The sequence below is a fragment of the Homo sapiens genome, chromosome 4 (genome assembly GCF_000001405.40).
Source record: "Homo sapiens chromosome 4, GRCh38.p14 Primary Assembly".
Taxonomy (NCBI): domain Eukaryota; kingdom Metazoa; phylum Chordata; class Mammalia; order Primates; family Hominidae; genus Homo; species Homo sapiens.
In genome coordinates this window covers 74,263,192-74,277,292 of record NC_000004.12, presented here as the reverse complement: position 1 = coordinate 74,277,292, position 14,101 = coordinate 74,263,192, and the positions used below count along the sequence as shown (strand labels likewise).

General features: G+C 36.0%; 1 protein-coding gene across 14 annotated transcripts in view; it reads right to left on the bottom strand.

The window, feature by feature from the left end:
- MTHFD2L (methylenetetrahydrofolate dehydrogenase (NADP+ dependent) 2 like) overlaps window positions 1-14,101 on the bottom strand; it is a 188,540-nt gene that overhangs the window by 25,807 nt on the left and 148,632 nt on the right. The window contains exon 7 of one of the 14 annotated variants that reach the window (XM_047415711.1): window positions 11,915-11,985. The exons of the other annotated variants lie outside the window; for them this stretch is intronic. Within the exon in view, the coding sequence (XP_047271667.1) occupies window positions 11,930-11,985 (56 nt within the window). The 3' untranslated portion in view covers window positions 11,915-11,929. Of the gene's footprint in view, window positions 1-11,914; window positions 11,986-14,101 lie in introns of those variants that run through there. 14 annotated transcript variants of the gene reach the window in all.

Sequence of the window (14,101 nt, the reverse complement as noted above, 5' to 3'; positions counted from 1 at the left end):
CAGCTGTGTCACAATGGGGCAAGCACAGATAAGACTCCATTCGCCCTCAGCAGTTTCCTGAGCCTTGGGAAGCTGGCTCACCAAGGATTCTAGGCTTCTGTTTATTCTTGCTGCATATCTGTGAAAAAAAAAAAAAAATCTGCTTTGGCTGATTTGTGTGAGTGTTCTGTCTCACCATTCTTATGCAAGCAATAGAGGTACTGGGACCCATTTTGCTCCTCCATGCTGTCCTCATGGTGTTTGGACTGCAGAAGCATCTAGGTCTTCTCTAAGCTTCTGCCAGACTTACAAACTTCTGTATTAGTTATGCCTTTCAATTCTATGATTTAAACATTCTCCTTTGTCCTTTCAAATTAAAAAAAAAATCCTCTTTCTTTCCCCAAGTAATTCATTTCTGAAGTTGTGTTGACCTTTGACTCTATCATTCATTCTACTTAAGAAGATAATTATATAAATTATATTTAATGGTTGGAATTATGACAAACATACAAAATCTCTATTTTAGTTACGCTAAATACACTAAGTAGTCTACTTACACTGCTGTCTTGCAGAGGCAAATGATCGGAAGCATATAGTTGCTCAATCAGTGTATTTTTATAGATATTGGAAAGAAAGTTCTTAGACTTGATGTGTTTAATTCCCCAAGTATACAAATGCAATATAAATTCTTGTCATTGGATAAAACAGAATCAAAATCGATTTAAATATTAGATAAATAAAAGACATATACCATTAGGATGCACAGTCCGGATATTTTTCTTTTTGTTAGAGTTGAAAATGAATGATTTCAAGTGAATTATTCCTATGAGCTTTACTTTTTCTGTTGTTGCTATCATAATTCCATAGAACCAATCCTTAATTTTTATACATAATTTGAGGGCTCAAGCATTATATGTGAGAACCAAAACCATCTATGCTCACATAGCTTATATATTAAAAGCTGTAATATTAACATTATTTTATTATTCAGCTGTCCTCATCTACATAACTTTCTTACTCCAGGAAACTCTTGCTCAGAAAGATGAAAGATGAAAGTGATTTTGTCGCATGAACTTAAGAAAAACTCATTTAATGAATATCAAATCTTTTGATGTTTCAGTAGGTAGCATCAAACAGCTGATTCTGTAGAATGTTTTGAAACCCTTGCTTCAAAACCCTCTCTTTGTATCCACCAATCCTAAACTTTCATATTATAATCATCCAATTCTAAGCAAGCCTCCATAAGGCATGTTAAAAGACTTGCTTTGCAATACCACTCAGGACATAGGCATGGACAAAGACTTACAATGAAATCACCAAAAGCAATTGCAACAAAAGCTAAAAACGACAAATGGGATGTAAATAAACTAAAGTGCTTCTGCACAGCAAAAGAAACTATCATCAGAGTGAACAGGCAACATACAGAATAGGAGAAAATTTTTGCAATCTACCATATGACAAAGGTCTAATATCCAGAATTTACAAGGAATTTTAAAAAATTTACAAGAAAAGAACAAACAACCCCATCAAAAAGTGGGCAAAGGATATGAACAGGTGCTCCTCAAAAGAAGACATTTATGTGGCCAACATACACATAAAAAAAAAAAGCTCAACATCACTGATCATTAGAGAAACGCAAATCAAAAGCAGAATGAGATACCATCTCACACCAGGCAGAAAGGCAATTACTAAAAAGTCAAGAAGCAACATGCTGGTGAGGCAGTGGAGAAATAGGAACCCTTTTATATTATTAGTGGGAATATAAATTAGTTCAACCATTGTGGAAGACAGTGTGGTGATTCCTCAAGGATCTAGAATCAGAAATACCATTTGACCCAGCAATCCCATTACTGGGTATATATCCAAGGGATTATAAATCATTCTATCATAAAGACACATGCACACATATATTTATCGCAGCGCTATTTACAATAACAAAGACTTGGAACCAAACCAAATGCCCATCAATGATGGACTGGATAAAGAAAATGTGGTAAATATACACTGTGGAATACTATGCAGCCACAAAAGGGAACGAGATCATGTCCTTTGCAGGGACATGGATGAAGCTGGAAGCCATTATCCTCAGCAAACTAGCACAGGAACAGAAAACCAAACACCGCATGTTCTCATTCATAAGTGGGAGTTGAACAATGAGAACACATGGACACAGGAAAGGCAACAACAGACATTGGGGCCTGTTGGGGGTGGGGTGAGCATCAGGACAAATAGCTAACCTATGCAGGGCTTAAAACCTAGGTGATGCGTTGATAGGTGCAGCAAACCACCATGGCATACGGATACCTATGTAATAAACCTGCACATTCTGCACATGTATCCTGGAACTTAAAGTAGAAAAATTAAAAAATAAAGACTTGCTTTGAAACAAACTCTAACATCTTATAAATATTTCAACTTTGCCCCCACACCCTAACATGTTACTAAGTTTAACTGGCTCTCCAGGAGAAAAACTATCTCTGATGTGTAGAATTTGATGATTTCTACAACATAAATAGTCCTACCATGGCTGACTTCAAGCTACTAATGTGACCTCACTGAACATGGATTGGGGAAGAGATGCTCAGAATCAATCTCACAGGCTGGTGGAGCAAGCTTCAGCATACCACTGCTACTAAGGCTCTGTCAATGCAGTTCTCACCCATGCTACAGTAACCATAAACTAAGATTTGTCATATCATTGAATTGTTTCGGTGATATTTTTGGGGAACCAGCATTCAATAATCTTAAAGATCCACAAAGATCTAGTCAAGAACTTCTGTTGTAAATGATCCAAGACTTGAGTCAAAAAGCAGGAGTGCCTTGTGGCATTTTGAACTTCCTGCTAGGATAAGGAGTTGTTGGTCTCTCCTACTGTTACAATGAGGTATGGCTCACATTGAGTCTGACCTCTTATACATTTTGTTATTTAAAGTTCCCCATGAACTGCATTTATTTTGTCTTCTATGAATAAGAAGCCCTTTTTAAGGAATCCTTTGATTGACCAGATTTGAATAACTTTTATCCTTGGTAGAAATCAGTTTTATTATTAACTACACTATATATCTCTATCCCTATCATTTTTTTGTATCTCTATAAAAGCAAAGTTCACAGAAAGGGAATGGGTATAAACCAGATAAATCCATCCTCAAACTGATTTTGACAGGCTGGGTGTAGTGGCTTATGCCTGTAATCCCAGCACTTTGGGAAGCTGAAGGAGGTGTATCACTTGAGGTCAGGAGTTTGAGACCAGCCTGGCCAACATGGTGAAACCCCATCTCTACTTGAAAAAAGAAAAAAAAAATCAAACTGTTCTTGAGGACTGAGAAATTCAGAAAGTTCCTCTGAACTATGGAAAACTCTGGAAAAATTTTGCCTGAGGTCACTTACCAAAATCTTATGAGTGCTTTTCCCAGTCTGTCTCGTGAAATCTCTCCAAACTTTACTATCTGTGAAAACTGCACGTGTGAGGTTTGCACCTGGAGAAGGCCCAGCCATCAGGCCATGGGGGGCTGAGGCAGGAGGTACACAGCAGTACTTTCACCTGATAGTTCCTAGACTCTGCTGGACTTGGCTCAGTTTAAACCGAAGACCATTCCCCCTCTGACAGACTCTTTCTTTGTACATGTATTTGTACCATAACACAAATTCTTATATTTATTATCTTTCTAAATGGCTTAGTTTCACTAAAGATAATTTAGAATTATAATAGACATTTTCAAGGCGTTTTGATATGAACAGAAGTGTACATTTGAGAGGTGCCTTAGAACATAAAGGAATAAAATTTCAAACGTCCAATGATTTGCATTGTTAATGTGTTTGAGGAAGTATTCAAAATTATTCAGACTTCAAAATTATTCCCTTAAAAGATTCCTTTGTTGAGGCAAAAAAATAAAAGTGAAATACTTAATCTCTTTTAGATTCCTTCAAACTTCAACACAAACTTAATGGCCTTTATCCTATTATTCTTCTTCTCCCAGAGTGTTTCTCCATCTCCTTCTGACTTGTTCCCCCTTTCTTCTGGCTGTCCAGAAACTCCTAAAGTGCATTATTTTATAAAGTTAAGCCCCTGTCAGAACAGAAAAAAACTCTTATTGTTAATTTTAAGACTTCATCTCATTCTGAGCTAAAAGCCATTATTAAAATGTACCCAAAGCCTCACCACGATAAAATTTGCAGGGACATCAGGAATAGTTTTAGGAATGTAAAACCCATACTCCTCAAATCGATATCTATTACTTCATATGCTCAGATACAAAAGAACTGGATAAAAAGGCGTAATACAAAGATTCCTAATTGCATAAGAAATCAGAGGGATTTTGCAAGCTGTAGATTTTGAATGTCTTTTGGAAGCTATCCCCCAAATCTTTCCTGTAAACATAGATTGGACTCTGATTCAGTCCTATAAGCAAAGAAAGAATAAGTTCATTAGGGAGTTCAAGGATAGGTTATTTGACACCTTTTGACAGAATTCAGAAGTAAACACTGATTCAGATGAAGCCTCACTTTCTGCTCATTTTCTTGTGAATGACCTTAAGCCAGAAATAAAAGAGTTAAAACACAAGAAAAAGCAGAAACGGGAAACAGCCTATTGCCAGACCTCTAGCACCCTGTTGAACATTTTGAAAGGGACTTGGCACAAAAATCAAATAAGTCTTAAATCAAATTCAGGCCCCTACAGATAAAACAATCCGGTATTACCAATCATTAAACACTCCCTGAACAGGGAGTTACTCGGTAAAGCCAGTTGCAGATACTGTAAACAGAAAGAACACTGACAAAAAAGTTAATATATTAAAAATAAAGGGAAAAAATGAAGGATGTAAAAATGGAAGTGCTTTAAAGGAAATCAAATGCCCAGTTTCTCATTTTACCCTTAAATTCACAAGGAGAAATTTCTTATAATGTTAAAAGAACAACCTTTTGATTGATATAGGTATGACCATATTAGCCTTAAACTCTTCTATTCTTATTCAACAGTCCCCTTGGAATAAACATACTATGCAGGTGGTGGGCATTTCCAATAACTCCTAAACATTCCTTATGTCCAGGCTTAGAACAGAAATACAGTCTTTCCTCCTCCGTGATCCCACACCTGTTAATTTGATACTCTGAAAGGGGAGTTGCCAGATTAAATGATGTCCTGATTTATCTCTTTCTTAAAATCCCTTAGGATGCCCTATTCATAGCTAGTTTCGATAGCGACGTAGACTTACCAATACCTTTGTATCCAAATCAAGCCCAAATTGAAGATATCAAAGCGATGCCAGAATTTTTGTGGGTAAAACTTTGGTATTATCATCAACATTATTGGGGCTACATCTATCCAGCTTCAGATTGACTTCTGTCTGAACTTACATAATACCCTCTTAAAACTACTAGCTATACTTCAAAGAGAATAAAATACCTAGGAATCCAACTTACAAGGGATGTGAAAGACCTCTTCAAGGACAACTACAAACCACTGCTCAATGAAATAAAAGAGGATACAAACAAATGAAAGAACATTCCATGCTCATGGATAGGAAGAATCAATATTGTGAAAATGGCCATACTGCCCAAGGTAATTTATAGATTCAATGCCATCCCCATCAAGCTACCAATGACTTTCTTCACAGAATTGGAAAAAACTACTTTAAAGTTCATATGGAACCAAAAAAGAGCCCGCACTGCCAAGACAATCCTAAGCCAAAAGAACAAGCTGGAGGCATCATGCTACCTGACTTCAAACTATACTACAAGGCTACAGTAACCAAAACAGCATGGTACTGGTACCAAAATAGAGATATAGACCAATGGAACAGAACAGAGCCCTCAGAAATAATACCACACATCTACAACCATCAGATCTTTGACAAACGTGACAAAAACAAGAAATGGGGAAAGGATTCCCTATTTAATAAATGGTGCTGGGAAAACTGGCTAGCCATATGTAGAAAGCTGAAACTGGATCCCTTCCTTACACCTTATACAAAAATTAATTCAAGATGGATTAAAGACTTAAATATTAGACCTAAAACCATAAAAACTCTAGAAGAAAACCTAGGTAATACCATTCAAGGCATAGGCATGGGCAAGGACTTCATGTCTAAAACACCAAAAGCAATGGCAATAAAAGCCAAATTGACAAATGGAATCTAATTAAACTAAAGAGCTTCTGCACAGCAAAAGAAACTACAATTAGAGTGAACAGGCAACCTACAGAATGGGAGAATATTTTTGCAGTCTACTCATCTGACAAAGGGCTAATATTCAGAATCTACAAATAACTCAGACAAATTTACAAGAAAAAAACAAACAACCCCATCAACAAGTGGGCGAAGGATATGAACAGACACTTCTCAAAAGAAGACATTTATGCAGCCAACAGACACATGAAAAAATGCTCATCCTCACTGGCCATCAGAGAAATGCAAATCAAAACCACAATGAGATACCATCTCACACCAGTTAGAATGGCAATCATTAAAAAGTCAGGAAACAACAGGTGCTGGAGAGGATGTGGAGAAATAGGAACACTTTGACACTGTTGGTGGGACTGTAAACTAGTTCAACCACTGTGGAAGACAGTGTGGCTATTCCTCAGGTATCTAGAACTAGAAATACCATTTGACTCAGCCGTCCCATTACTGGGTATATACCCAAAGGATTATAAATCATGCTGCTATAAAGACACATGCAGATGTATGTTTATTGCGGCACTACTCACAATAGCAAAGACTTGGAACCAACCCAAATGTCCATTAATGATAGACTGGATTAAGAAAATGTGGCACATATACACCATGGAATACTATGTAGCCATAAAAAATGATGAGTTCATGTCCTTTGTAGGGACATGGATGAAGCTGGAAACCATCATTCTCAGCAAACTGTTGCAAGAACAAAAAACCAAACACTGCATGTTCTCACTCATAGGTGGGAATTGAACAATGAGAACACTTGGACACAGGAAGGGGAACATCGCACACCGGGGCCTGTTGTGGGGTGAGGGAAGGGGGGAGGGAAAACATTATGAGATATACCTAATGTTAAATGACGAGTTAATGGGTGCAGCACACCCACATGGCACATGTATACATACGTAACAAACCTGCATGTTGTGCACATGTACTCTAGAAGTTAAAGTATAATAATAATAATAATAAAAAGAAAAAAATAAAATGAATTTTGGACAAAAAGAAAACCACTAGCTAATGACTAAAACTAACCTTTATCTTTCTATTTAAAAAAAGAATACCTAAAAACCCCATTGTGTAGGGATACAGATTCATTCAGGACCTTAGGTCCGTAAATAGAATATTTATTCTCCATGGTAGCAAATTTGAATTCTATTTTATCTTTGTGCATCCTAAGGCTACATGTTTTACAGTTTTAGATCTGTATTTTGTTTTCTTTAGTGTCTCCTTGGATCAAAATAATCTATACTTATCTGCCTTCTTCTGGAAATATCAAATAATACACCTCTGCTATTATGCCTTAGAGTTTACTAAGGCACTATCACACTTTTGACAAGTCTTCCGCCTGGACCTAAATAATTTCAAATTTCTGTGTAATTCTACTCATATCATACTGGTGAGGATTTGAGGCAGAAAATATATTTCAGAAGATAGAAAATCAGACTCTGAATTTGAAGTTTCAAACAGTTCAAAGTGCTTTTATGTTATGCTGGTCCATCAGCAGACATATCCCTGAAGTACATAGGTAATGAAAGTAGACATAATTTATTCATACATTATTTATACATTATTTATTATTATATATAATGTATTTGTTATGCATTACAAGTATAAAAAACAAGCTACTAGATTTTATAGAAACATTTCCTGCTGTAAACTCCCATTATGATATTTAGCAGTTTTCAAAACTCCCATATTAGTTATCTGAGTTTTCAATAAACTATATTAACTCCAAATTCTGAGTCATTCAGTAGCATATGAAATTGAATTGTTACATACCTATAATATTATCATTTAGAAAATTCTGTCTAACAAAGATAATTATACACTAACGCACAAAGAAGGCTTATGGAGAAAAACTTGTGTTTTTTCCCCCCAAGCTAATTAATCCTTTTATCAACTTATTTCTGGCAAAAGAAAGGGTTTCTTACTAATGCAGAATTTCAAAAGTAATTGAGATGATAATATTAGAGTAAAACAGTCTCCTTGGGAAACTTAGTAAGAAGATTTCTGATTTATCTAAGATTTTTCTGTTTCAGGTGAAAATCTCTTTGATAAGTAAATGAACCAATGGATCATCTATATAGATTCACACTACTTTAAAGCTTATGTCTTTCTCATCAAGGGATTGTAAATATGCTATTTTGTGATTCATTATATGACAAATATAAAATAAATCACCAATGTTGCCTAGGCAAAAAAATACCGAATAAAGGTAACATAGAAAAAAATGATAGCAATACCTAAAGCAAACAGAGCACTAGTCTACACCCTAGGAGCTAAGCTTTCCCTAATGTGAAGGTGTGACCATTAGCTCTTCAGCTAGTGGGAGGCTATATCCTTATTCTCCCTAATTACAGCCGCAACTGGATATTTTCATATGTGTATTTGATAATCTCAGAATTGAGTTTACATGAATTAAAAAAAATTAATCACTTCCCTATGGATACTCCTATCATAGTCATCTGTAACTCTTCATGAAATGGCTCAGTCAAGCCATCCTGATAAAAGGAAGCGCCATATTTACACATCACTTTAATTAGTAGAGTTCAAAGGACTGTGTAAACATTATCTAATTAAACTTCACAACAATTCAGTGAAGCAAGAAAAGGTTTACCCATTATCCTCATTCACAGAAGAAAGATTTTGAGGTGCTGAGAGGCTAAATGATTTCTTGGTTTCACAATGATGAGTCAGAGGTAAGGCTGGGAACAAAACCAGAACTCTAACTCAGATATAAAAGGAACACCATGGAAATGCTTACTCAGGTGGATCACTTCTTCAGCTGGAAATTGTCCTACTACATAAATAAAGATAATAATTAGAGTGGAATTTGTGTGAATGTATGCTTCTTTCTAGATTAGAAAAACTTTCTTCAGCATTATTTGCTTTGCAGACAGTAATATAATGGCTAAATGCATCCTAGATAAATAGAGCCTACATTAGTAATACAAAAACCTCAGTGTCTTCTCCCAGGTATCCTCCTGTTATTTCTAGAAATCCTCAAAAAGTGTTTACAACCCAGTGAGTCAGTGGCAGTGACCACAGAACATTTCCTGTTCTTTTTCTTTTCTCTGGCTTCTTTGGTTCCTATCTGAACAGATATGCCTATCATGCCTGTCATGAGAATAATATTCATGCCAAGGACAATATCTGAATGCCCCCAAAGCTTCTATTCCTTGTGGTACCAGGATGGTGCTAGGTTCCTTACAGAGCTCAGGGCCAGTAGGGCTCTGCTCTGTGCCATATTGGATCGTCTAGGGCTTTGGAATCCTCTTATATTCAGAAATTCATAGGATCATTCAAGTAGTTCCATCACCTTCTGCCTTGGACCATATTTCTGCAAAGTCAATGGACCTGTGGGGTCCAAATGTGTGCTTCTCTTTTCTTCCTCCCATCAATCAAACCTTATTCTCTGAGGGCACCTGTAATCCCAGAACTTTAAGAGGCCAAGGTGGGAGGATCGCCAGAGCCCAGGAGTTCAAAACCAGCCTGGGCAACATAGGGAAACCTTGTCACTACAAACAGCAACAAACAAACAAGCAAACAAACAAAGCTGGACATGGTGGTGCATGGCTGTGGTCCCAGCTACTTGGGAGGGTGAGGTGGGAAGATTGCTTAAGCCCGGGTGGGCAGGGGTGGGCGGTGGATTGAGGCTACAGTGAGCCACGATGGCGCCACCAGCCTAGGCAACAAAGTGATATGCTGTCAAAGAAAGAAGAAAGAAAGAAAAGAAAGAAAGAAAAGAAAGAAAGAAAGAAAGAAAAAAGAGAAAGGAAGAAAGAAAGGAGAAAGAAAGGAAGAAAGAAAGAGAGAAAGAGAAAGAAAGAAAAGAAAAGAAAAGAAAAGAATAGAATAGAAAAAAGAAATGTATTTCCTGCAAACAGACACCAATGCACTTGGGGAATGAGGAGAGACTGCAGGCCAGTAGGGACAATAGGCAAGGGTCTATATTACCAACTGTCATGTTATTCACAGAGTATTAAAGTCGAATGGAATGGGTTTCAAACATTTTAGAAACATTTATTTAAAGGAAAATTGTTTACCAAGCTCAGTGTGTAAAAGGATCAAAGCAAGGAGAGGTATATTAGTTGAAAAGAGGTAGAGGGGAGCTCTGCTACCAGCCAAATCCCTTTAGGTTCCCCAGAGCTCAACTTGAAAAACCAATTAGTCCAATTTCTTTCTTTTAAAGATGTACCTCCTGAAAGCCAGATAGTCTAGATAATACAAAGAAATGAGGCCTGATATTTAGAAAACAAATTACTTTTTTACAATCCCTAGTATTCCCCTCTTATGCAGTCTTAGATTTTCCCTTCTCCTACAACCTTTAAGCATTCTAGCAGCAGCTAAGGCATTCAGTGCTGATTGACTCAGAAAAGTGATAGACAGGAGAGAAGTGGAGACCTTACTTCTTAGCTTCAAGATTTCAAAAGCCTAGCACTTTAGAAGAACAGAGAGACTCAAACAAGAAAATGGAAGGGTTGAGTTCGAAAAGTCAGGAGAGTTGGAGAAGTGGTGAGAGCTTAGACTTCAGAGGTTCCCAGGGAGATGTTGCTAGTCAATGCTCCCTGGGCTGTGTCTTGGAGAACTGGCAAAATCCCTAGTTTTGGTTTTGGAAATCCAAAAACAAAAATATATTTTTCCTATAGCCTGTGTAGTGGTTGGAAAGGTGGTATGGTCCCAAATAATTAAATAGATGGAAGGATGGCTAAAGCAGATGCCTTAGACACTGTCTTAGCATTTCCTGTGTACCTAAGGATGACAGGGTAATAGAGAGATTAAAGCAATTGGGCAAAAAGGAGCACTTCTGCAAGTGCATGTGTAGGCAGTTGGACAAGGACCAAATCAGATGATGACTAGCTCATTTGATGAGAGTTTAGAAACATAATAGTGAAAACTAAATGCCCCTACCATGTCTTGATACTTATATGAAACCTCTGGAACAACATAAGAGTCCACATAGATGAAGCTTGAGTTTCTGCTATGTTCCAGTAACTTTCAAAGGTTGTAATGAAAAAGTCAATAAAGTTTGAGAAAGGAGTGCTTAATGGATGTGTACAGATACAATGGTCTGAATCATTGGTTATCAAATTACTGAACTGTTCTAAAAATTAAATCAGATATACAAATATCAGAATCTAACACATAAATAATTGACTTCAACATATTTAAAGCACTTTGAAAGAAAAATTAAATGGTGCTTTGTTTGTTAAAAGAAAAAAAGTAATGACGTCTCCACATCTGCAAATTAGGCAAACTGCATTTCTTCTTCACCCATCATACAAAGTATTGCTCTCGAAATCTTGCTGGACAAATGTTGATATAGAGAATATTAAGCTTAGCAAATCATATGATATACCAAAGTACTATTTTACAATGTATTTTAATATTATTCATGACAAAAATAGTATGCATGACAAAAATACTAGCCATGGCAATTTTAAGTGCTTGTCTAGGTACCTTTGTTCCTTGGCTAAAATCTAAGGCTCAAGTTCAGATTTCAGGTTTTCCAGCTTAATAACTCAATAACCTTGGACAAGTGTCCATGTAATCCTGTTTCCTTCCCTGTATAATTGCGATAATAGTAGTCCTTCATAAGACTGGATAGAGAAGTAAATGAATAATGTATATAAAGTGTGTAGCACATTGCCTGGCACATCAAAAATATCATAGCCAATCCACACTGAGAGTATGCCACAGTTATTCACACATTATTAAGAGGTCTTGCACGTTTCCACTTACCCTCTGCCATTTCTGCCATGGCCATGAGAAGGTCATATCTGGGCCTGTATGCTGGTCTCTGGATAAGGATGAGACACGTGTGGAGCAGCTACAGTGCATCACACAAACCCACATTAGAGCAGAGCCCTGGCAGACTTGCAGACACATAAATAAGCCAGTTGAATTACAAACAAATGAATGAATCAATCTGAGATTAGCTGAGCTCAGCCTAGTGTGTCAATCCCCCACCAAACCATAGATGTGTGGGTTAGAATAATGATGACTATTGTTTTAAGCCACTGAGTTTTGACATGATTTCTTCCACAGCAATAGCATGAAGTAAAAAAAAAAGTTCTTACTCTCAGTTATAACTAAAATACTTGAAATACGGGTTATAAATTGATATATACTCATCAATTGAAATGTGTTACACATGTACAGTGAATTTGTTTTCCAATAGATCTTAATATCTCCACATGTGATAATATGGAAGGTTTCTTATTACTCCTTCAAATCACTGTACACAAGAACTTCTCATTCATAATCCCAAATAAATCAATTTACTTTTTGTTTCTAGAAAATTAAATAACATATTAAGGTATAGAAACAAATAACAGAAAGTAGTAAAAAAAGAAAAGAAATCCATTAATATTAACGCTGCTGAAACTCAACCAATAATAAGCACTTTGGAATATTTACCTCAAGTCTTTTTTTTTAAGTTTGTACTTAAAAATATTAAAACAATTGAACTATAAATTCACTGCCCTTAAAAATATTAGAATAACAGATATAGATAAAGCATCTCTCAAACTTAATCCTCATTCTTATCTCTTACTAAGTGGATATATATTCTAACACTCTAATTTTTTCTCATTCCTTTATCTATATTATGCATCCATGAAATATAATATATATATGAAATATTGAAATGTTTTTAAAGCATGGTAATCGAATAAGGGAGAAGCACACACTAGATGTAAGTTACTTGGAATAGTCTAGTTCTTGGGTTGGAGGGGTTGAGTACATAGGTATTCATAATTATGTCATTATGTTGACCATATATTCTGTAAGCTTGCTAATTTATAATTTTAGTAGGTTTTTCATAGATTACATTAGATTTTCTAAATAGATAATCATATATGAAAACAAAGACAGTTTTACTTCCTCCTTCCTAGTCTGTATACATTATATTACTTTTCTTTACCTGATGGTATAGAATAGGACTGCCAATACAATGCTGATAGATGTGGTGGGAAGGAAAATCTTTGTTTTATTCCTGATCTTAGGGGGAAGCATTCATTCTTTCACCATTAAGTATGAAAACTGTAAGGTTTTCACAGATGCCCTTCATCAGGTTGGGAAGTCCCCTTCTATTCCCAGTTTGCTGATAATTTTTTTTTATCAGGAATGGATGATAGATCTTGTCAAATGTGATTTCTGAGATTATTAAGGTATTTTTATTTTTGTTTGTTTTAGTTTGCTAATATGGTAAATTACATGGACAGATTTTCAAAGGTTAGACTAATCTTAGATTTCTGGGATAAACCTTATTTGGTCATGATGCATTGCCCTTTTAATATACTGAATTATGCAGGCAAGAGAAAGAAATAAAGGCATCTAAATAGGAAGTCAAACTATCCCTGTTTGCAGATGACATGATCCTATATTTAGAAAACCCCACAGTCTCAGCCAGAAAGCTTATTAAGCTGAAAAACAACTTCCTCAAAGTCTCAAAATACAAAATTAATATGCAAAAATCACTAGCATTCCTATATAACAACACCAGTCAAGAGCCAAATCAGGAATGAACTCCCATTCACAATTACCACAAAAAGAGTAAAATATAATACCTCAGAATACAGCTAATTAGGGAGGTGAAAGATCTCTACAAGGAGAACTACTAACCATTGCTCAAAGAAATCAGAGATGACACAAAAAAAATGGAAAAACATTCCATGTTCATGGATAGAAAGAATCAATATCATTAAAATGGCCATACTGCCCAAAGCAATTTATAGATTCAATTTATAGATTTTAGAATGTTGACATTCTTCACAGAACTAGAGAGAACAATTGTAAAATTCATATGGAACCAAAAAAGAGCTCAAATAGCCAAGGCAATCTTAAGCAAAAAGAACAAAACTGGAGGCATCATGCTACCCGACTTCAAATTATATTTACAGGGTTACATTAACCAAAACAACGTGGTACTGGTACAAAAACAG